This window comes from Homo sapiens, chromosome 19 (genome assembly GCF_000001405.40).
Source record: "Homo sapiens chromosome 19, GRCh38.p14 Primary Assembly".
Lineage (NCBI taxonomy): Eukaryota > Metazoa > Chordata > Mammalia > Primates > Hominidae > Homo > Homo sapiens.
In genome coordinates, this window is record NC_000019.10 from 49,715,515 (window position 1) to 49,739,169 (window position 23,655).

At 48.7% G+C, this 23,655-nt stretch overlaps 1 pseudogene, besides 5 other annotated features; it reads right to left on the bottom strand.

Annotated features, from left to right (window-relative positions):
- Positions 1,904 to 2,439: a transcriptional cis regulatory region, noted in NCBI's record as "candidate enhancer chr19.5489 targeted for multiplex CRISPR interference". NCBI's record gives its function as "positively regulates TBC1D17 gene expression with high confidence in K562 cells {active_cell/tissue: K562}" and the evidence as "EXISTENCE:mutant phenotype evidence [ECO:0000015][PMID:30612741]".
- Positions 3,912 to 4,623, bottom strand: RPS9P4 (ribosomal protein S9 pseudogene 4; annotated as a pseudogene).
- Positions 5,846 to 6,346: an enhancer, noted in NCBI's record as "H3K4me1 hESC enhancer chr19:50224617-50225117 (GRCh37/hg19 assembly coordinates)". NCBI's record gives its function as "activates a minimal SCP1, AML or CMV promoter by ChIP-STARR-seq in primed H9 embryonic stem cells {active_cell/tissue: H9 hESC(primed)}" and the evidence as "EXISTENCE:reporter gene assay evidence [ECO:0000049][PMID:30033119]".
- Positions 11,551 to 12,051: an enhancer, noted in NCBI's record as "H3K4me1 hESC enhancer chr19:50230322-50230822 (GRCh37/hg19 assembly coordinates)". NCBI's record gives its function as "activates a minimal SCP1, AML or CMV promoter by ChIP-STARR-seq in primed H9 embryonic stem cells {active_cell/tissue: H9 hESC(primed)}" and the evidence as "EXISTENCE:reporter gene assay evidence [ECO:0000049][PMID:30033119]".
- Positions 12,052 to 12,552: an enhancer, noted in NCBI's record as "H3K4me1 hESC enhancer chr19:50230823-50231323 (GRCh37/hg19 assembly coordinates)". NCBI's record gives its function as "activates a minimal SCP1, AML or CMV promoter by ChIP-STARR-seq in primed H9 embryonic stem cells {active_cell/tissue: H9 hESC(primed)}" and the evidence as "EXISTENCE:reporter gene assay evidence [ECO:0000049][PMID:30033119]".
- Positions 18,265 to 18,440: a silencer, noted in NCBI's record as "fragment chr19:50237036-50237211 (GRCh37/hg19 assembly coordinates)". NCBI's record gives its function as "represses an EF-1alpha promoter that drives an FKBP-Casp9 reporter gene in an ReSE screen in phorbol 12-myristate 13-acetate-treated (for megakaryocytic differentiation) K562 erythroleukemia cells {active_cell/tissue: K562(+PMA)}" and the evidence as "EXISTENCE:reporter gene assay evidence [ECO:0000049][PMID:32094911]".

A 23,655-nucleotide genomic window follows, 5' to 3' on the forward strand; every position in this document is an offset into this window, starting at 1 on the left:
TCTAAATGGCTCAACCTCTACCAGCCCAACCACCCCAGCCAGACTGCCAACTCTGTGATGGTTTAAAAAATGTCCACAAGTGGGGGCTGGGCACGGTGGCTCATGCCTGTAATTCCAGCACTTTGGGAGGCGGAGGCGGGTGGATCACCTGAGGTCAGGAGTTTGAGATCAGTCTGACCAACATGGAGAAACCACATCTCTACTAAAAATACAAAATTAGCTGGGCATGGTGGTGCATGCCTGTAATCCCAGCTACTCAGGAGGCTGAGGCAGGAGAACTGCTTGAACCCGGGAGGCAGAGGTTGTGGTGAGCCGGGATCGCGCCATTGCACTCCAGCCTGGGCAACAAGAGTGAAACCCCGTCTCAAAAAAAAAAAAAAAATAGTGATTAGGTCACAAAAGACATTGTGGCTTTCTTTTGGCCGGGCATGGTGGCTCACACCTGTAATCCCAGCACTTTAGGAGGCTGAGGCGAGCTGATCACGAAGTCAAGAGATCGAGACCATCCTGACCAACATGGTGAAACCCTGTATCTACTAAAAATGCAAAAATTAGCTGGGTGTGGTGGCATGTGCCTGTAGTCCCAGCTACTCAGGAGGCTGAGGCAGGAGAATCGCTTGAACCCGGGATGCGGAGGTTGCAGTGAGCTGAGATTGCACCAGTGCATTCCAGCCTGGCAACAGAACAAGGCTGTGTCTCAAAACAAAACAAAAAACAAAACAAAACAACACAAGACATTGTGGCTTCCTTCTTGCTCTGTTTCTCAATCACTTGCTCTGGGGGAAGCCAGCCACCATGTCATGAGGACACTCAAGCTGCCCATGAAGAGGCCCACGTGGTAAAGAACTGAGACCTCCTGCCAACAGCCAGTGAGGCACACATGAGTGAGCCATCTTGGAAGCAGATCCTCCAGTCCCAGTCAAGCCTTCAGATGACTGTCACCCGGCTGACAGCTTAACCACAACTTCATGAGGGACACGGAGCCAGAACCACCTTAGCTAAGCTACTTTTGATTTCCTGACTTTTAACAACTATGTGAGATAATAAATGTTTGTTAATTCAAGTTGCTATACTTTGGGGTAACTTTTTTTTTTACACAGGAATAAAGAATACAAACTGCAAACACCTCAGCCTCAACCCTCATATTCTTTTTTGAAATTTGCTTTTATTTTTATTTATTTTTTTGAGACGGAGTTTTGTTCTCGTTGCCCAGGCTGGAGTGCAATTGCACAGTCTCGGCTCACCACAAGCTCCACCTACCCCGGTTCAAGAGATTTTCCTGCCTCAGCCTCTCAAGTTAGCTAGGATTACAGGCAGGCACCACCATGCCCGGTTAATTTTGTATTTTTAGTAGAGACGGGGTTTCTCCATGTTGGTCGGGCTGGTCTAGAACTCCTGACCTCATGTGATCTGCCCGCCTCGGCCTCCCAAAGTGCTGGGATTACAGGCTTGAGCCACCGTGCCCCGCCTGTTTGAGACCGAGTTTCACTCTGTCACCCAGGCTGGAGTGCAGTGGTGCAATCTCGGCTCACTGCAACCTCCTCTTCCCAGGCCCAAATGATTCTTGTGCCTCAGTCTCCCGAGTAGCTGGGATTACAGGCGTGAGCCACTGCACCTGACCAAGAAATTTATTTTTGGTTGGAATACTGCCTGGCGCAATCTCGGCTCACTGCAAGCTCCGCCTCCCGGGTTCACGCCATTCTCCTGCCTCAGCCTCCCGAGTAGCTGGGACTACAGGCGCCCGCCACTACACCCGGCTAATTTTTTTGTATTTTTAGTAGAGACGGGGTTTCACCATGTTAGCCAGGATGGTCTCGATCTCCTGACCTCGTGATCCACCCGCCTCAGCCTCCTAAAGTGCTGGGATTACAGGCGTGAGCCACCGCGCCCGGCCACGACTTTTTTTTTTTGCAAGTAGTCTTTCAAAAATATATTTGGTCCTCAGGGGTACAGAATTGGATTAATCATAATTGCTGGTCCTTGGCACATACTATTATTATGTGTACCACTTCTTAAGCTATTATCTCTTGGCTTCAAATCTATTTCCCAGCACTGGGCTTTGGGTAACTGGGAATGGGACTCTGAAAACCCCACTTTCACTTTGCCAAGTGGTGTGTTAGCCTCTGCCAATAGGGGGTGCCAGACTGACCGTAGAGCCTGAAGGAGGAAAAGGGTTCTTGCTCCTTCCTGTTTGCTCTCTGCTTACTTCCCGTTGGTTTCCTGTTCTCATCTGCGTCAGCAAAGCTTCTTCACCCTGTCCAAGGCAGTTCTTTCCTGTAGCAGCAGCTAAATCCAATTTGCAGTTTTTCCAAACTTGCACATCCTCAGAGATGCCAGACCATTTGGGGATGCCAGACCAGCACCCCTGCCTGAGAAAATTCCAGTCTCGGGCCGGGTGCGGTAGCTCACGCCTGTAATTCCAGCTCTTTGGGAGGCTGAGGCGGGTCAATCACGAGGTCAGAAGATCGAGGCCATCCTGGCTAACACGGTGAAATCCTGTCCCTACTAAAAATACAAAAAATAAGCCGGGCATAGTGGCGGGCACCTGTAGTCCCAGCTACTCGGGAGGCTGAGGCAGGGCAATGGCATGAACCCGGGAGGCTGAGCTTGTAATGAGCCAAGATCACGCCACTGCACTCTAGACTGGGTGACAGAGCGAGACTCCGTCTCAAAAAAAAAAAAAAAAGAAAGAAAATTCCAGTCTCTAGTGATCCTCCTCTGAGCTCAGAAACACCAGCACCATCTGAGCAGTGCCTCCTCTTCAGAGCCTCAGTTTTTTTTTTTTTTTGAGACAGAGTCTCACTCTGTAGCCCAGGCTGGAGTGCAATGGCGTGATCTTGGCTCACTGCAAACTCCATCTCGCGGGTTCAAGTGATTCTCTTGCCTCAGCCTCCCGAGTAATGGATTGCAGACGTGCGTAACCACGCCCAGCTAATTTTTGTATTTTTAGTAGAGACAGGTTTTCCCCGTGTTGGCCATGCTGGTCTTGAACTCCCAACCTCAGGTGATCCACCCGCCTTGGCCTCCCAAAGTGCTGGAATTACAGGCGTGAGCCACTGGGCCCAGCCCAGAGGCTCAGTTTTATGTCCACTGGCTCCTGATCCAAATGTATAGTTTTTAATAACTCTAACCTTTGTCTTTGTTTTTCATACCCTAGTGAGATAGGAATTTGGCAAGACTGGTTTCCAAGACAACAGGACACAAGACCTCACTCATAAGACAGAAAACAGCAAAAGAAACTGGCTAAAACCAGCTAGAACCAAGAGGACAATGAAAGGGACCTCTGGGGCCGGGCCCGGTGCCTCATGCCTGTAATCCCTGCACCTAGGGAGGCCGAGGCGGGTGAATTACCTGAGGTCAGGAGTTCGAGACCAGCCTGACCAACACGGAGAAACCCTGTCTCTACTCAAAATACAAAATTAGCCCGGCGTGGTGGTGCCTGCCTGTAATCCCAGCTACCTGGGAGGCTGAGGCAGGAGAATTTCTTGAACCCGGGAGGCAGAGGTTGTGGTGAGCCAAGATCGCGCCATTGCACTCCAGCCTGGGCAACAAGAGCCAAACTCCATCTCAAAAAACAACAACAACTAAAAAGGAAGTGACGTCTGGTTACTTTCACTGCTCATTATATGCTAATTGTAATGCATTAACATGCTAAAAACACTGCCACCAGCACCATGACAGTTTACAAATGCCATGGCCATGCTGAAAAGTTACCCTGTGTGGTCTGGACGGGGTGAAAGCCCAGGTTCTGGGAACTCCCTGCCTCTTATCTAGAAAACCCATGTGTAATTCACCTTTTATTTAGCATATATTCAACAACTAACCATTAAAATAACCAACCAACGATCCTCAGAGCTACTCTGCCTATGAGGTTGCTACTCTTACTTTCCTTTCTTTCTTTTTTTTTCCAATTGTAAAGTGCTGATCCTGTTTATTTGGCAGGAAAACGAGACAATCCAGCAGCCCAGGAGGGACAGGTGGACTTAATCCTCCTCCTCGTCGTCTCCAGCCCCACCCTCACCCTGGCCCTTCTTGGCGTTCTTCCTCTTCACGCGGCCGGGGCGGCCACCCCATAGGGAGAGCGCAGAGACAAGTCGATGCGCTTCTGGGAATCCAGGCGGACAATGAAGGACGGGATGTTCGCCACCTGATTGCGGACCCTGACACGGCGCTGGCGGATCAGTACGCCAGCGTGGTGGATGGACTTGGCCAAGCCCAGCTTGAAGACCTGGGTCTGTAGGCGTCTCTCTAAGAAATCCTCTATCTTCAGGCCCAGGATGTAATCCAGCTTCGTCTTGCCCTCATCCAGCACCCCAATGCGGAGCAGCCGCCGCAGCAGGACGTTGCCTTCAAACAGACGCCGTGGGTCCTTCTCATCAAGCGTCAGCAGTTCCCGGGCGGCCTTGCGGATGTTGGCCAAGGTAAATTTGACCCTCTAGACCTCACGTTTGTTCCGGAACCCATACTCGCCGATCAGCTTCAGCTCTTGGTCGAGACGAGATTTCTCGAAGGGTCTCCGCGGGGTCACATAAGTTTTGTGACAAACCCAGCTCCGGGCCACTGGCATGTTGGCTCCGCTTCCCCGTCTGCGCCTGAGTGCAGGACCCGTTCACTGAGAAAGAGCTCCTTTCTTTTTCTTTTCTTTTTTCCTTTTCTTTTTTTTTTTTTTTTCTTTTTTCTTTTTTTTTTTTTTTGAGACAGTCTCGCTCTGTCGCCCAGGCTGGAATGCACTGGCGCGATCTCGGCTCACTGCAACCTCCGCCTCCCGGGTTCAAGCGATTCTCCTGTCTCAGCCTCCCAAGTAGCTGGGACTACAGGCGCCCACCATCATGCCCGGCTAATTTTTTGTATTTTTAATAGAGATAGGGTTTCACCGTGTTAGCCAGGATGGTCTCGATCTCCTGACCTCGTGATCCGCCCGCCTCGGCCTCCCAAAGTGCTGGGATTACAGGTGTGAGCCACCACACCCAGCCCAGCCACACCCTTTATAACCTGCCTTGTCACCTGTCTCAGGCCTTTTCTCGTATTTTACTTTTCTGCTCTTAGTGCCAAAATGCATGCTTATGACGCTTATTTCACTGTTGGACTGGTAGCATTTCTTCTGGCTATTTGAGCAATTTTTGCTATTCTGTATCAGGTAGGGCACTTTCCTTGTTTTGAATTCTTTATTTTGGAGAGGAACCCCTTTGTTCTGACTCTGGGATGCCGGAGTCACATTGTTCCATAGCCTCAGTTGTGCCTTTGGGGTTCACTGTTGGCCACCCTCAGGATGCTCCAGGGTTTTCGGCATTTGGTGTGGGGACCCTTGGTGACTGATATCTGGAGGCCCCAGGTCTTTTGGTATTTGGTGCCCTGGATTCAGGTTGCGTGGTTGTACTGGTAGCCAGACTCAAATTTGTTTTTTTTGTTGTACGGAGTCTCACTCTGTCGCCCAGGCTGGAGTGCAGTGGTGCAATGGCTCACTGAAACTTCCGCCTCCCAATTTCAAGCGATTCTCCTGCCTCAGTCTCCCAAGTAGTTGGGACTACAGGCCTGCACCACCACACCCAGCTAATTTTTTTTTTATTTTTATTTTTATTTTTTTTTTTTTTTGAGACGGAGTCTTGCTCTGTCACCCAGGCTGGAGTGCAGTGGCGGGATCTCGGCTCACTGCAAGCTCCGCCTCCCGGGTTCACGCCATTCTCCTGCCTCAGCCTCCCAAGTAGCTGGGACTACAGGCGCCCGCCACTATGCCCGGCTAATTTTTTGTATTTTTAGTAGAGACGGGGTTTCACCGTTTTAGCCGGGATGGTCTCGATCTCCTGACCTCGTGATCCGCCCGCCTCGGCCTCCCAAAGTGCTGGGATTACAGGCGTGAGCCACCGCGCCCGGCCTAATTTTTTATATTTTTAGTAGAGACGGGGTTTCACCATATTGGCCAGGCTGGTCTTGAACTCCTGACCTCGTGATCTACCTGCCTTGGCCTCCCAAAGTGCTGGGATTACAGGTGTGAGCCACCGTGCCCAGCCTGTTTGAGACCGAGTTTCACTCTGTCGCCCAGGCTGGAGTGCAGTGGTGCAATCTCGGCTCACTGCAACCTCCTCTTCCCAAGCCCAAATGATTCTTGTGCCTCAGTCTCCCGAGTAGCTGGGATTACAGGCGTGAGCCACTGCACCTGGCCAGAAATTTATTTTTGGTTGGAATACTGCCTAGGTCATTACAAACTGGAAAACCAGAAATTTTAGCCTAAAAATAGTTCTTTGCGGCCAGGTGTGGCGGTCATACCTGTAATTCCAGCAGTTTGGGAGGCCGAGGTGGGTGGATCACAAAGTTAGGAGTTTGAGACCAGCCTGGACAGCATAGTAAAACCCCGTCTCTACTAAAAATACAAAAAATTAGCTTAGTATGGTGTCATGCCTTTAGTCCCAGCTACTTGGGAGGCTGAGGCAGGAGAATTGCTTGAGCCCAGGAGGCAGAGGTTGCAGTGAGCTGAGATCATGTTACTGCACTCCAGCTGGGTGATAGAGACTGTCTCAAAAAATATCAATCAATCGATAAAATAGAGGACGTGCGCCTCTTTCTGAGTCTGATTTGGCTTTATGTAAGGATAAGTTTGGCCAGTTTTTGGAGAATCCAGTAATTTATTGAAGAGTTTGTTAAGTTGGCCATGTCCTGTGACCTGACTTGGCATGACTAATGGATATTATTGTCTACCTGCTCTACAGTAGAGGAAAAACAGAGGATTCTAGGCACTCCCCATGAAACCACAAATGGAATGGCCACTTGCAATCAAAGCCATGCCATTTATTGGGAGGAGGGAATGCAACCCCAGATTGGCCCCTGATCTGGTTTTGGCTGTGTCCCTGCCCAAATCTCATATTGAATTGTAGCTCCCATAATTCCCCCATGTCGTGGGAGGAACCCAGTGGGAGATACTTGAATCATGGGGGAAGTTTCCCCCATACTGTTCCGGTAGTGAATAAGTCTCATGAGATCAGATGGTTTTATAAGGAGTTTCCGCTTGTGCTTGGCTCTCATTCTCTCTTGCCTGCCACCATGTAAGACGTGCCTTTTGCATTCTGCCATGATTGTGAGGCCTCCCCAGCTATGTGGAACTGTAAGTCTATTAAACCTCTTTTTCATCCTTTTTTTTTTTTTTTTTTTTTTGAGACAGTCTTGCTCTGTCGCCCAGGCTGGAGTGCAGTGGCACAATCTCGGCTCACTGCATCCTCCACCTCCTGGGTTTAAGCAGTTCTCCTGCCTCAGCCTCCCAAGTAGCTGAGATTACAGGTGCCTGACACCACTCCCGGCTAACTTTTAAATTTTTAGTAGAGATGGGGTTTCACCATGTTGACCAGGCTGGTCTCAAACTGCTGAACTCTAGTGATCCGCCTGCCTTGGCCTCCCAAAGTGCTGGGATTACGGGCATGAGCCACTGTCCCTGGCCAGTAACAAAGTTTTAGAAGTACAGAGTGTTAGGGCCAGGTGTGGTGGCTCACGCCTATAATCCTAGCATTTTGGGAGGCTGAAGTGGGTGGATCACCTCAGGTCAGGACTTGGAGCATTTTGGGAGGCTGAAGTGGGTGGATCACCTCAGGTCAGGACTTGGAAGAAGAGCTGAGGCAGGGCTTGCTTGTCTGACATAATGTAAAAGAGTCTGGAACATGTCCTGGGTCCAGGGTCTCAAACCCCTCGTGGCCTATGGAACACCAAGCTCTGTGCCTAAGGGTGGAAGGCTGCCCTGCCACACTGCAATCTAAGCCCAGGACATAAAACCCCTCGTGGCTTGTAAAGAATCCAGGGCTCTGGGCATAAAACCCCTCATAGCCTCTGGAATGTGTCCAGACTCGCTGGCCCCTTGCTCCTTGCTCTCCCAAGATCATAAACTGGTTGTGTCTTGAGTGAAAAGAACCTGTTCTCCTTTATCTCAACTAGCAGAGCATACGCTAAACCGTCATAGCTACGCTTGGTGCACCACTACCTTTCTACCCCCATGTCCGCACGTCCTCACCACCTGCTTCTTTGTTTGATTACCAATAAATAGTGTGGGCTCCCAGAGCTCGGGGCCTTTGCAGCCTCCATACACCAGCGTTGGCCCCCTGGACCCATCCTATGTACTCTTAACTTGTTTTGTCTCATTCCTTTGATTCCGCCGGACTTCGTAGCCCCCACGACCTGGTGTTGGGTCTGATCACCCCAACAAGCCTGGTCAACATGGTGAAAGCCCGTCTCTACTAAAAATACAAAAATTAGCTGGGTGTGGTGGTGAATGCCTGTAGTCCCATCTACTTGGGAGGATGAGGTAGGAGAATCGCTGGAACCTGGGAGGAAGAGGTTGCAGTGGGCAGAGATGGCGCCACTGCACTCCAGCCTGGGTGACAGAGCAAGACTTCATCTCAAAAAAACTAAATAGGCTGGGCGCAATGGCTCACACCTGTAATCCCAGCACTTTGAGAGGCCAAGGCAGGTGGATCACAGGGTCAGGAGATTGAGACCATCTTGACTAACAAGGTGAAAACCCGTCTCTACTAAAAATACAAAAAAAAAAAAATAAAAAATAATTAGCCGGGCGTGGTGGAGGGCACCTGTAGTCCCAGCTAATCGGGAGGCTGAGGCAGGAGAATGGCATGAACCCGGGAGGCGGAGTTTGCAGTGAGCAGAGATCGCTCCACTGCACACCAGCCTGGGGGACAGAGCGAGACTCTGTCTCAAAAAAAAAAATAAATAAATAAATAAATAAAAAATAAAAAAAGAGGAAAAGGTAGTAGCCCTAACCCCATTGTGTCACTCTCTCTTGAGCCTGCCCACATGCCTTTTTCTTGTGTACTTTTTGCTTTGCAATAAGTCTCCTTACTTTCACTATCTTCTGACTCATCCTTGAATTCCTTACTTCTCGTGATGATGTCAAGAGCCTGGCATTTGGGGACCTCTCACAGCCCACTGGTATCACCTTTTTTTTTTTTTTTTGAGACAGAGTGTTGCTCTGTCGCCCAGGCTGGAGTGCAGTGGGACGGTCTCAGCTCACTGCAACCTCCACCTCCCAGATTCAAGTGATTCTCTTGCCTCAGCCTCCAGAGTAGCTGGGATTACAGGTGCCTGCCACCATGACCATCTAATTTCTTGTATTTTTAGTAAACACGGGGTTTCAACAGGTTGCCCAGGCTGGTCTCAAGCTCCTGACCTCAGGTGATCCGCCTGCCTCAGCCTCCCAGAGTGCTGGGATTATGGGGGTGGGCCACCATGCCCGGCCAACAATGATGTTTCTTTTCCTCGCCGTCTTAGACATTGCTTTAGGAAACACTCTCTATTCGAATTATTTATTAGACCTCGCCTGCTCCCATAGGAAACTTCCCAACTAGACGGCTGTCCCTTTAAAACTGTTTTCCTGCAATGTTACCCACCTGGCCTGGCCTCAGTACTATAATAATACCCATGCCATCTCTCCTACAGGCAATGGTATCTACTTTGTACCACTTATTCAATGCCATTTATAGGGCAAGTTTTTTTTTGTTGTTGTTGTTTTTTTTTTAACAAAGTATCGCTCTTGTTGCCCAGGCTGGAGTGCAATGCGTGATCTCGGCTCACTGCAACCTCTGCCTCCCAGGTTCAAGCGATTCTCCTGCCTCAGCCTCCCAAGTAGCTGGGATTACAGGCACCTGCCACCATGCCTGGCTAATTTTTTTGTATTTTCAGTAGAGATGGGGGTTTCACCATGCTGGCCAGGCTGGTCTTGAACTCTTGATCTCAGGTGATCCGCCCGCCTCGGCCTCCCAAAGTGCTGGGATTACAGGCGTGAGCCACCGCGCCTGGCCAGGGCAGGATCTTTTAACACTACCTGTCAAGTAAATGCCACACATTTTTGCCCTGATGGTACCATCAAATACATTTCTTCTTGTCTCCCTGGAGGGTCTTAGTCCCTCTGTAGACAATTATGCCCTTCTCTACTCCCATAGCTGCCTCTCATAATAATGGTATTATTTTAAATTACCACTTTCCAGTCAAATTCTTTTTTTCTCTTTTTTTTTTGAGATGGAGTATCACTCTGTTGCCCAGGCTGGAGTGCAGTGGAGAGATCTTGGCTCACTGCAACCTCCACCTCCTGGGTTTAAATAATTCTCCTGCCTCAGCCTCCTGAGTAGCTGGGATTACAGGCACCCGCCACCACACCCAGCTAATTTTTGTATATTTAGTAGAAATGAGGTTTCGCCATGTTGGCCAGGCTGGTCTCAAACTCCTGACCTCAAGTGATCTGCCCACCTCAGCCTCCCAAAGTGTTGGGATTATAGGCGTGAGCCACTGTCCCTGGCCTCCCCCCAAATTCTTATCCCATTCATGCTTAAACCAAAGCGTCACTTAGATAACAGAGATGCTCAACCTTCTTAACTCCCCTCCCACATGGGTTTGTGCTCCCAATGGATACCTTTGGCTATATGGACGCTGTAGTAGTCCGTTGTCACACTGCTATAAAGACATAGCTGAGACTGGGTAATTTATAAAGAAAAGAGTTTTAATTGACTCACAATTCTGCATGGCTGGGAAGGCCTCAGGAAACTTACAATCATGGAGGAAGGGAAAGCAGGCACGTCTCACGTGGTGGCAAGAGAGACAGAGGGGCAAGCGCAGGAACAACTGCCTCATAAAACCATCAGATCTCATGAGAACTCACTCACTACCACGAGAACAGTGTGGGGAAAACCACCACCATGATCCAATCACCTCCCGCCTGGATCCTACCTCGACGTGTGCGGATTACGGGCATTACAATTTGAGATGAGATTTGGGTGGGGACACAGAGCCAAACCATATCAGATACCCATTCAGTCAGCCTCCAAATAACTTTTCTTTCATTTGAAATCATAAAACCCATGGTTAACAGTGTATTGATAACATTTGTTTCAGGGGTCAATGTATAACAGGACAGGCAAAGCCCTCTAATATACAGTTACATGACATCACTCACCCAAGTGCTAAGCAGGCAGTTGGCCTTATCTTGGCTGAAGTTGGGGCTGCCATCAACTTGTTGGCCCCATGGGGAGGATTTGCCCATCATGAGGCAACTCTTCAAAACTTTACTTCTTCACTTAGCCAGGCACGGTGGTTCACACCTGTATTCCCAGCACTTTGGGAGGCCAAGGCAGGTGGATCATGAAATCAGGAGATCGAGACCGTCCTGACTAACATGGTGAAACCCCGTCTCTACTAAAAATATAAAAAATTAGCCAGGTGTGGTGGTGGGCGTCTGTAGTCCCAGCTACTCGGGAGGCTGAGGCAGGAGAACAGTGTGAACCCGGGAGGCGGAGCTTGCAGTGAGCCGAGGTCACACCACTGCACTCCAGCCTGGGCGACAGAGCGAGACTCTGTTTCAAAAAAAAAAAAAAACAAAAAAAAAAAAACTGTACTTCTTTACTCTGTACACTGCTGTCTCATAGACTACAGGACAGTTTAGATAAATTGAGACTGTCCCTTGATTCTGTAACAGATGTAGTAATGGGTAACAGATTAGCATTAGTCTATCCATGGTCTAATGGAACATTAGTAATTAGTATGGTCAGTGGAACAACTGTAATTAATAAAACCTGCTGTACCTATATAAACACCTCAGATCAAATGGAGAAAAATATCAACAAGATATACAAACAACTACCTGGCTACCTTCATCATACTCAGACTGGTACAGAACAGCTGGGGTCCCGGCTAAACCCTATCCTTAAGCCTGGAACCGCCGCCCTAAGTGAAAACAGCTGACCCCATTTTTCCATCCAAATGTTGCCTTTTTGGCCTGCCACACCTCTATCCTGTGCCCACAAAAAGACTGCCGCTGGCAGAGCAACACAAGCGGCTGATGGCTGAGCATCAAAGACTACGGATAGACACGGCTAACTTCAGATGGCGCAGCTTCAGGGAAAGATCACCTTCTTCCCACACCCTCCCCTGGCCTCCATTCCACTGAGAGCCACTTCCATCACCCAATAAAATCCTCCCCATACACTACCCTACAATCTGTTCGTGTGACCTAATTCTTCCTGGACACCAGTCAAGAACCCGGATGCTGAGAGGGCAGGGGCTTGGACGCTCCCGCACAGAGCCTGCTCCCACCAGAGAGGAGTGACTGGCCGGCTCCAGCGTTTGTTCCCTTCAGTTCCTGCACTCGCTTGCTCCCACGCTCCCTCTCATGAGGAGTCACCAGCAGCAGGCTGAGCCAAAAAAGCCACTCCAGTTCCCGCCCATGAAGAGGATCAAGGTCAAGGTGATGTAGGAGTTAAGACGAAATCACTTAGACTGATAGGGCAAGGGAGTCCTTGGTAAGGCTTTCCTTTTTAATGAAAAGCAGCCCCGAATCATTTTCTAATGAAGAGCGGCTTGTAAAGTTGAGCTGCAGAGATAGGCATGCAAGCTGGGAGCTTGCCTGGGTGAACGCCGGCCTGGCGGGAACAAGGAACTAGGGACTAGACATGTTCAATATGGTGGCTCCATCTTCCCTTCTCTGCCAGCCACGTGTACAGTTAACGAGCAGACAAGAGGGCTCTGGCCATGGGGAGAGTTCATTTACATAATAAGATTAGGGTGGGGAGGGCTTGGCTCGGTGGCTCACGCCTGTAATCCCAGCACTTTGGGAGGCCAAGGCGGGTGGATAACCTGAGGTCAGGAGTTCAAGACCAGCCTGGCCAAAATGGTGAAACCCCATCTCTACTAAAAATACAAAAATTAGCTGGGCATGATGGCGGGTACCTGTAATCCCAGCTACTCGGGAGGCGGAGGTTGCGGTGAGCCGAGATCGTGCCATTGCACCCCAGCCTGGGCAACAAGAGCGAAACTCTGTCTCAAAAAAAAAAGAAAAGAAAAAAGAAAAAAAGATTAAGGAGGCCTATATAATGTTTGAGCAGGGAATAAAGTAGGAATTTGGCAGGACTAACTTCCAAGACAACATGTGACACGACCCTGCTGATAACACAGGAGACAGTAAAAGAAACTGGCCAAAACCAGCTGGAACCAAGACAGGATGAAAGCGACCTCTGGCTACCCTCACTGCTCATTATACACTAATTAGAATGCATTTGCATGCCAAAAACACTTCCACCCGCGCCATGACAGTTTGCAAATGCCACGGCCATGCTGAGAAGTTACTCAGTATCATCTGGATGGGGGAGAAAATTCGGGTTCTGGGAGCTCCCTGTTCCTTACCCAGAAAACTCATGTATAATCCACCCCTTATTTAGCATATAATCAAAAAATAACTATAACCATAAAAATATATCAAAACAGCCAACCAATAGCCCTTAGGACTACTCTACCTGTGGGGTAGCCACTCTTTGATTCACTCCGTTTTTTTTTTTTTTTTTCTGGAGACAGGGTCTCCCTCTGTCGCCCAGGCTGCTGGAGTAGAGACATATTCTCGGCTCATTGGAAACTCCACCTCCCAGGTTCAAGCATTTCTTGTGCCTTAGCCTCCTGAGTAGCTGGGACTACAGGCACACGCTACCACACCCGGCTAATTTTTGTATTTGTTTTGTTTTTTGTTGTTGTTGTTGTTTTGAGACGGAGTTCCACTCTTGTTGCCCAGGCTGGAGTGCAGTGGCACCATCTTGGCTCACCGCAACCTCCGCCTACCGGGTTCAAGAGATTCTCCTGCCTCAGCCTCCCAAGTAGCTGGGATTACAGGCATGCGCCACCACGCCCAGCTAATTTTGTATTTTTAGTAGAGATGGGGATTACAGGCGTGAGCCACAGCGCCCGGCCAATTTTTGTATTTTTTAGTAGAAATGGGGTTTCACCATGTTGGCCAGGCTGGTCTTGAACTCCTGGCCTCAAGTGATCCACCTGCCTTGGCCTCCAAAGTGCTGGGATTACAGGGGTGAGACACTGCACCCAGCCCCTTTTTTCCTTTACTTTCTTTTTTTTTTTTGAGACGGAGTTTCACTTTTGTTGCCCAGGCTGGAGTGCAATGGCGTGATCTCCGCTCACTGCAACTTCTGCCTCCCGGTTTCAAGAGAGCCTCCTCTCTCAGCCTCCCAAGTAGCTGGGATTACAGGCACATGCCACCACGCCTGGCTAATTTTTGTATTTTTAGTAGAGATAGGGTTTAATCATTTTGGTCAGGCTGGTCTCGAACTCCTGACCTCAGGTGATCCGCCCGCCTACACCTCCCAAAGTGCTGGGATTACAGGCATGAGCCACCACGCCTGGCTATTCCTTTACTTCCTTAATAATCTTGCTTTCACTTTACTGAATCCACTTGCTCTTCAATGTATTATTTTTTTTCTAGACAGGGTCTCACTCTGTTACCCAGACTAGACTGCAGTGGTACCATCATGGCTCACGATAGCCTCAACCTCCCAGACTCAAACAACCCTCCGGCCTCAGCCTCCCAAGTAGCTGGGACTACAAGTAGGCACCACCATGTCCACTTGGCCAATTTTTAAAATTATTTTTATTTTCATTTATTTATTTTTTTGAGACAGAGTTGCCCAGGCTGGAGTGCAATGGCACGATCTTGGTTCACTGCAACCTCTGCCTCCTGGGCTCAAGCGATTCTCCAGCCTCAGTCTCCCAAGTAGCTGGGATTACAGGTGCGTGCCTCCATGCCCAGCTAATTTTTGTATTGTTAGTAGAGACAAGATTTCACTATGTTGGTCAGGCTGGTCTCGAACTCCTGACCTCAAGTGATCCGCCAGCCTTGGCCTCCCAAAGTGTTGAGATTACAGGGTAAGCTACCGCGCCTGAGCTAAAATTATTTTTAGTATAGACAGAGCCTCACTATGTTGCACGGGCTGGTCTTCAACTCATGTTGCTCTTGAATTCTTTCCTCTGTGAAGCCAAGAACCCACTTGGCCTCCCAGACTGAACCCCAATTTTGGGGTGCGTCCTGTGACAGCAGGACCAATATAATGCTGTTTCCTGTAGTTACTGCCACCACAATACCACAGGGTCCTCTTTTTGCCTTTTCAGTTTCCTAGTTACCAATCCTTTAATACCTAAATTTATTTATATTCGATCATCTCTGTTAAAATAACCAGTGTGATTTCTGTCTCCTGAATATACCCTGACTGACACAGATATTTGTAATAGGAAGGAGCTTTCCAAAGGTAGGTTTTGGAAAATTGTTTATTCATTTATTTATCTATTATTATTTTTTGAGACAGGGTCTTACTCTGGCGCCCAGGCTGAAGGAGAGTGGTGTGATCATAGCTCATTGCAGCCTCGAGCTCCTGGGCTCAAGCAATCCTCCCACCTCAGCCTCCTGAGTAGGTGGGACCACAGGCATGCACCACCATGCCCAGCTAATTTTTATTTTATTTTATTTTATTTATTTATTTTTGAGACAGAGTCTCACTCTGTCGCCCATGCTAGAGTGCAGTGGAGCCATCTCGGCTCACTACAAGCTCTGCCTCCTGGGTTCACGCCATTCTCCTGTTTCAGCCTCCCGAGTAGCTGGGACTACAGGTGCCTGCCGCCAAGCCCAGCTAATTTTTTGTATTTTTAGTACAGATGGGGTTTCATTGTGTTAGTCAGGATGGTCTCAATTTCCTGACCTCGTGATCCACCCGCCTCGGCCTCCCAAAGTGCTGGGATTACAGGCGTGAGCCACCGCACCCAGCACAAGTTTCTAATATGAAGGTTTGGGCATCAGTTGAAAATGAGTGGGACTTTGAAACTTGAGGCTGGGTGCAGTGGCTCGCACCTGTAATCCCAGCACTTTTGGAGGCTGAGGTGGGAGGATCACGAGGTCAGGAGATCGAGACCATCCTGGCGAACATGGTGAAACCCTGTCTCTACTAAAAATACAAAAAAAAAAAAAAAAAAATTAGCCGGGCGTGGTGGCAGGCGCCTGTAGTCCCAGCTACTCCAGAGGCTGAGGCAGGAGAATGGCGTGAACCTGGGAGGCAGAGCTTGCAGTGGGCCGAGATTGCACCACTGCACTCCAGCCTGGGTGACAGAGCAAGACTCCGTCTCAAAAAAAAAAAAAAAAAAAAAATCACCCAGGCATGGTGGCATGTGCCTGTTGTCCCAGGACCTCAGGAGGCTGAGGTGGGAGGATTGCTTGAACCCAGGGGGTCGAGACTGCGATGAGCTATGTTCAAGCCACTTCACTCCAACCTGGTTGACAGAGCAAGACCCCATCTCAAAAAAGTCATTCCTTCAGTCTCCTTCAACCATCACTCCAGTGAAAATACTTTTGTTGCTCAATGCTATAATCAGTTTCCCGGTTCTCATCGTAGCTGACCAACAGAAGCATTTGGAATTGATTGCTCCCTTCTCATCGGTACATTTTTTCACTGCCTTCAAGGACATCGTCTTATTTTATTTTATTTTATTTTTGAGATGGAGTTTCACTCTTGTCACCCAGGCTGGAGTGCGATTGTGCAATCTTGGCCCACTGTAATCTCTGCTCCCAGGTTCAAGCAATTATCCTGCCTCAGCCTCCCGAGTAGCGGGGTAGTAGTGGTGCCACCCACCACGCCTGGCTAATTTTTGTATTTTTAGTAGAGACGGGGTTTCACCATGCTGGCCAGGCTGGTCTCCAACTCCCGACCTCAGGTGATCCGCCCGCCTCGGCCTCCCACAGTGCTGGGATTACAGGCGTGAGCCACCGTGCCCGGCCACATCATCTTATTTTGATTCTCCTCCTACTCACTGGTTATTCCTTTTCGTTTTCCACCGTGAGTTCCATCACTTATTTGATTTTAGGCTTCTGAATTTTGGAGTGCTCTGAAACCTAGGTTGTTCTCTCACTCGCTGTCGCTCTAAGATGAGCTCAGGACTTTAAACTCTCAGCTCCAGAAGGAGTTATTCCAAAGAGCTCGCAAACCTGTGGGTATGTGTAGCAATGGATTCTAAGGGTTTTGGACCAGGGAGGATGGAATGTAAGGTTTGATCGGACTGAAGTAATTAATTTTTTTTTTTTTTTTTTTGAGACAGAGTCTTGCTCTGTCGCCCAGGCTGGAGTGCAGTGGTGGGATCTCAGCTCACTGCAATCTCCACCTCCTCGGTTCAAGTGATTCTCCTGCCTCAGCCTCCCGAGTAGCTGGGATTACAGGCGCCCGCCACCACGCCCAGCTAATTTTTTGCATTTTTAGTAGGGATGGGGTTTCACCACATTGGCCAGGCTAGTCTCAAACTCCTGACCTTAGGTGATCCGCCCACCTCGGCCTCCCAAAGTGCTGGGATTACAGGCATGAGCCACCGCGCCTGGCCTGAAGTAATTAATTTTTAGTTTTAGTTTTTTGAGACAGAGTCTTACTCTGTCACCCAGGCTGGAGTGCAGTGGTGTGATCTTGGCTCACTGCAACTTCTGCCTCCCAGGTTCAAGCGATTCTCCTGCCTCAGCCTCCAGAGTAGCTGGGTTACAGGTGTGCACCACCACTCCCAGCTAATTTTTGTTTTTTTAGTAGAGACGGTGTTTCTCCATGTTGTCCAGGCTAGTCTTGAACTCCTAGCCTCAAGTGATCTGCCCACCTCGGCCTCCCAAAGTACTGGGACTATAGGCATGCACCACCACGCCTAGCTAATTTTTGCATTTTTAGTAGAGACGGGGTTTTGCCATGTTGGTCAGGCTGGTCTCCAGCTCTTGACCTCAGGTGATCCACCTGCCTCAGCCTCCCAAAGTGCTGGGATTGCAGGTGTGAACCACCACGCCCAACCTAGTTTCTTAGAAATAAACATTTAATAGGGACTTAAGAACAGAAGCTGGACCAGGGACAATGGCTCATGCCTATAATCCTAGCACTTTGGGAGGCTAAGGCCAGTGGATCACTTGAGCCTAGGAGTTTGAAAACAGCCTGGGCAACATGGTGAGACCTTGTCTCTACAAAAGATAAAAAAATTAGCCAGGCATGGTGGCATGCACCTGTGGTCCCAACTACTCGGGAGGCTGAGGTGGACGAATCAGTTGAGCCCAGGAGGTTGAGGCTGCAGTGAGTCATCTTTGTGCCACTACACTCCAGCCTGGGCAAGAGAACCAGACCTTGTCTCAAACAAACAAACACAGAAGGCTGGACACAGTGGCTCACGCCTGTAATCCCAGCACTTTGGGAGGCCAAGGCGGATGGATCACTGAGTCAGGAGTTTGAGACCAGCCTGACCAACATGGCGAAACCCCGTCTCTACTAAAAATACAAAAAATTAGCCGGGCGTGGTGGTGCGCTCCTGTAGTCCTAGTTACTCAGAAGGCTGAGGCAGAAGAATCGCTTGAGCCTGGGAGGTGGAGGTTGCAGTGAGACAAGATCGTGCCATTGCACTCCAGCCTGGGCGACAGAATGAGACTCTATAAAAAAAAAAAAAAAAAAAAAAGACAGCAGATCCCTGCACTGTTACCCCCCCAGACCTAAAGCTTATAGACCATAAAGAAAAGGTGATTGGCCGGGAGCGGTGGCTCACACCTGTCAGGCTGGAGTGCAGTGGCGCGCGCGATCTCAGCTCATTGCAAGTTCCACCTCCTGGGTTCATGCCGTTCTCCTGCCTCAGTCTCCCGAGTAGCTGGGATTACAGGCGCCTGTCACCATACCTGGCTAATGTTTTGTATTTTTAGTAGGGACGGGGTTTCACTGTGTTAGCCAAGATGGTCTCGATCTCCTGAACTCGTGATCCACCCGCCTTGGCCTCCCAAAGTGCTGGGATTACAGGTGTGAGCCACCATGCCCAGCCTAAACTGGAAATCTTAGGGCCCTTCCCAGAGCTGGGGTGAGTCAGATGCCAACATGGCAGATGAGCATCCAAGATGAAGTTGCTTTTCCCTCTACCAGTGGTCTCAGAAAACAGATGCTAGACTGAGCGCGGTGGCTCACACCTGTAATCCCAGCACTTTGGGAGGCCAACTGCACCTGAGGTCAGGAGTTTGAGACCAGCTTGGCCAACATGGCGAAACGCTGTCTCTATTAAAAATACAGAAATCAGCTAGGCATGGTGGCGGGCGCCTGTAGTCCCAGCTACTCGGGAGGCTGAGGCAGGAGAATTGCTCAGACCTGGGAAGCAGAGGTTGCAGTGAGCTGAGATCGCGCCACTGCACTCCAGCCTGGGTGACAGAGTAAAACTCCGTCTAAAAAAAAAAAAAAAAAGATGCTGAAGACGGGATTCTGGGATTAGGTTATTCACCTCTTTGCTCTTTGATGAGCTGTTTAATGATGTGATGATATCCTGGGAGGTGGAAAACGGGATGACAGTTATTGCATGTAGTGCCATCATTCATTATTTATTATCTTTGGTTGTTTGCAATGAGGTTCCAGTAAACAAATCAAAAGCCTTGGCTGGGTGCGGTGGCTCACGCCTGTAATCCAAGCACTTTGGGAGGCCAAGGTGGGCGGATCACCTGAGGTTGGGAGTTCGAGGCCAGCCTGACCAACATGGAGAAACCCTGTCTCTACTAAAAATACGAAATTAGCCAGGCGTGGTGGCACATGCCTGTAATCCCAGCTACTCAGGAGGCTGAGGCAGGAGAAGCACTTGAACCAGGGAGGCAGGGTTGTGGTGAGCCAAGATGGCGCCATTGCACTCCAGCCTGGGCAACAAGAGAGAAATTCCGTCTCAAAAAAACAAACCAACAAACAAACAAAAACAAAAGGCTTTAGCCAGGCATAGAGGGCACACCTGTAGTCCCAGCCATTGGGAGTCTGAAGCTAGGGGATTACTTGAGCCCTGGAGTTCAAGGCTGCAGGGAGCTGTGGCATTGCCCTCCAGCCTGTGTGACAGAATGAAATTCTGTCTCTAAAAAAAAAACCTTCTGTTGTTGTTGTTGTTGTTTGTTTGTTTTTGAGAGGGGGTCTCGATCTGTTGCCAGCCTAGAGTGCAATGGCGTAATCTAGGCTCACTGCAACCTCCGCCTTCCGGGTTCAAACGATTCCCCTGCCGCAGCCTCTCTAGTAGCTGGGACTATAGGCACGTGCCACCACGCCTGGCTAATTTTTTGTATTTCAGTAGAGATGGGGTTTCACCATGTTGGCCAGGATGGTGTTGATCTGACCTCGTGATCTGCCCGCCTCAGCCTCCCAAAGTGCTGGGATTACAGGCGTGAGCCACCGTGCCCGGCCAAAAAAAACCCTGTTTTTAAAGACTTTAGAAAATCAACTAACTGCTGACCTTGACCAATATAGTGGGAGCGATGAGGGCTGTGGAACAGAACAGCTATTTCTGTCACACTGGGAAGATGACATAAAGAAAATGATGAGCTCAGGACTTTAATCTCAGCTCCAGAAGGAGATGGAGATGCTGTGTATTTCCAAAGAGCTCGAAAACCTGGGTGTATGTGTAGCAACAGATTCTAACAGTGTTGGACCAGGGAGGATGGAATGTCAAGTTTGATGGGAATGAATTAATGTATTAATTCTGAATTTAATGTGCTAGCTTGAGCAGCTGTAAGTAGCTCTAATAATAATGGACCAAAACTTGGGTTCAGTGATGGCCTACATTTAAGTAGGTTAATATCCCAGAACCTCCCTGGTAGAATGTCAAGAAGAGAAGATAAAGTGGCCGGGGGGGTGGCTCAGGCCTGTAATCCCACCACTTTGGGAGGCTGAGGCAGGCGGATCAGCTGAGCTCAGGAGTTTGAGACCAGCCTGGCCAACATGGCGAAACCCTGTCTCTACTAAAAATATAAAAATTAGCCGGGCATGGTGGTGCGCATCTGTAATCCTAGCTACTCAGGAGGCTGAGGCAGGAGAATCTCCTGAACCTGGAAGGTGGAGGTTGCAGGTTGCAGTGAGCTGAGATCATGCCACTGCACTCCAGCCTGGGTGACAGAGTGAGACTGTCTCAAAAATAATAAATAAATAAATAAATAATAAATAAAATAATCTAAAGGATTTGGGAGGTAGCAACTCTGGAATAGACTTGTTATGTGCAATCATTTGTCTCTCCTCCTGTATATACCCCCGGGAGTACACAGGAACATTCTTTTCATTGAGAAATGAACTAGGGAGGAGTATAAATAAGTGGATGGATGGATGGATGGATGGATCAATCAATAGATCCATAGAGTGCTCTCCATTCAACAATTGAAGCACACACATTTTTTTCTCAAGCACACTTATAAAAATTGATCTGTACTAAACCAAAAGAAAGCCCCGATAAATTCAATGAACAGGTATCATACAGATCAATGTTTCTGATCACTATGCAATTAGATCTCTAGTTAATGTCAAAAAGAGGAATTTAAAATCCTCATATATGTGGAAATTTAAATTGTTTTAATTTTTGCTTTTGAGACGGGGTCTTGCTCTGTCACCCAGGCTGGAGTGCAGGGGCGCGATCACAGCTCACTGCAGCCTTGACCACCCAGACTCAAGCCATCCTCACACCTCAGCCTCCCTAGTATCTGGGACTATAGGCACGTGCTACCACGGTAAGCTAATTTTTTTTTTATTATTTTTAGCAGAGACAGGGGTCACTATGATGCACAGGCTGGTCTTGAACTCCCGGGCTCAAGCAATCCTCCCGCCTCGGCCTCCCAAAGTGCTGGGATAAGGTGTGAGCCACCACACCCGGCTTTCCCTGCATTCCAGGGGACTTGTTTACAGTCTTTTAACTTTGAATTCTTTTGTTGTTTTAAGTGTGTTTCTTTCTGTCTTTCTTTGTTTTTTTTTGTTTTGTTTTGTGTTTGAGACAGAGTCCCACTGTGTCACCCAGGTTGGAGTGCAACGGCGCAACCTCGGCTCACGGCAACCTCTGCCTCATGGGTTCAAGCAATTCTCCTGCCTCAGCCTCCCAAGTAGCTGAGATTACAGGCATGCGCCACCACTCCCAGCTAATTTTTGTATTTTTAGTAGAGACTGGGTTTTACCATGTTGGCCAGGTTGGTCTTGAACTTCTGACATCAGGTGAACCGCCTGCCTCAGCCTCCCAAATTGCTGGGATTACAGGCATGAGCCACCGCCCCCGGCCAGTGTGTTTGTTATAAAACAGCATTGATCTGGATTTAGTGTGTATATGTTTTAATCCATGTTGTCAAACTTTGTCTTTTAACTGGTGAAGTCTTGTTAATTTACATTTAATGATTAATATAATTGACATTGTTTATCATCTTCATGTATTATATTACTTCAGTTTATCTCTCCCTCCTCAAACCCCAAAATGTGAATATAATCTAGACTTTAAATTCTTAACTATTGAGGATATATTTTTCTGTTTCTTTTTTTGTTTATTTTTTTTTTTTTGAGACAGAATCTCACTGTCGCCCAGGCTGGAGTGCAGTGGCGCGATCTCGGCTCACTGCAGGCTCCGCCCCCTGGGGTTCACGCCATTCTGCTGCCTCAGCCTCCCGAGTAGCTGGGACTACAGGCGCCCCCCACCTTGCCCGGCTAATTTTTTTGTATTTTTAGTAGAGACGGGGTTTCCCCGTGTTAGCCAGGATGATCTCGATCTCCTGACCTCGTGATCCGCCCGCCTCGGCCTCCCAAAGTGCTGGGATTACAGGCGTGAGCCACTGCGCCCGGCCTATTTTTCTGTTTCTTACACTGAAGTTTCATTTTAAGACAACAGAAAACTTTATCAAATTATTCTAACCACTTTACTTCATATGTTTCTTGCAATATCTTCTGGATTTGCATTTTTTTCTCTTTATTATTTTATTTTATTTTTTGAGACAGAGCCTCATTCACTCTGTTGCCCAGGCTGGAGTGCAGTGGCGTGATCTTGGCTAACGGCAACCTCCACCTCCCAGGTTCAAGCGATTTTCCTACCTCAGCCTCCCTAGTAGCTGGGATTACAGGCATACTCCAACATGCCCAGGTAAGTTTTGTATTTTTAGTGGAGACAGGGTTTCACCATGTTGGCTAGGCTGGTCTCAAACTCCTAACCTCCAGTGATCTGCCTGCCTTGGCCTCCCAAAGTGTCGGGATTACAGGCATGAGCCACTGTGCCCGGCCTATTGCCTCATTTTCACCTGAAGAAATTGGCTATTCTGCCAGACACAGAGGGTATTTCCAGGTATATTCTGTCTGTTAGAGAGGGTATTTTTACTTTGAGGAACTGCCAATTCCCTATTCTGTCTTTTATGGAGGGAAATATCATAACTCTGTGCTTTCCCTCTGAGCTCAGAGGTGTACTGGCGGGGGAGGGGTATTAAATCTATGGGTGAAAAGCCCTGGGTATAAAAAAAAACATTGTCCGGCTGGGCACAGTGGCTCATGCCTGTAATCCAGCACTTTGGGAGGCCAAGGCAGGAGGATCCCTTGAGTCTAGGAGTTCCAAACAAGCCTGGGCAACATAGTGAGACACTGTCTCAATTTTTCAATGTTTTTTTTTTGTTGTTTGTGTTTTTTGTTTTTTTTTTTTGAGACGGAGTCTCACTGTCACCCAGTCTGGAGTACAATGGCGCGATCTCAGCTCACTGCAACCTCTGCCTCCCGGGTTCAAGCGATTCTTGTGCCTCAGCCTCCCGAGTAGCTGGGACTACAGGTGTGTGCCTGGCTAATTTTTGTATTTTTAATAGAGACAGGGTTTCACCATGTTGGCCAGGCTGGCCTCAAACTGCTGGTCTCAAGTGATCCACTCGCCTCAGCCTCCCAAAGTGCTGGGATTATGGGTGTGAGCCACCGCCTCTGGTCCTGGCTGACATCTTGACTCTAACTTCATGAGGATCTCAGCCAGGACCTAACCCCAGGAGTGAGGTTAACTGATTGTATTTCTGACCTTCAGAAGTTGAGATACATTTGTTATCTTAAGCAACTAACTTATGGGGTATTTTTA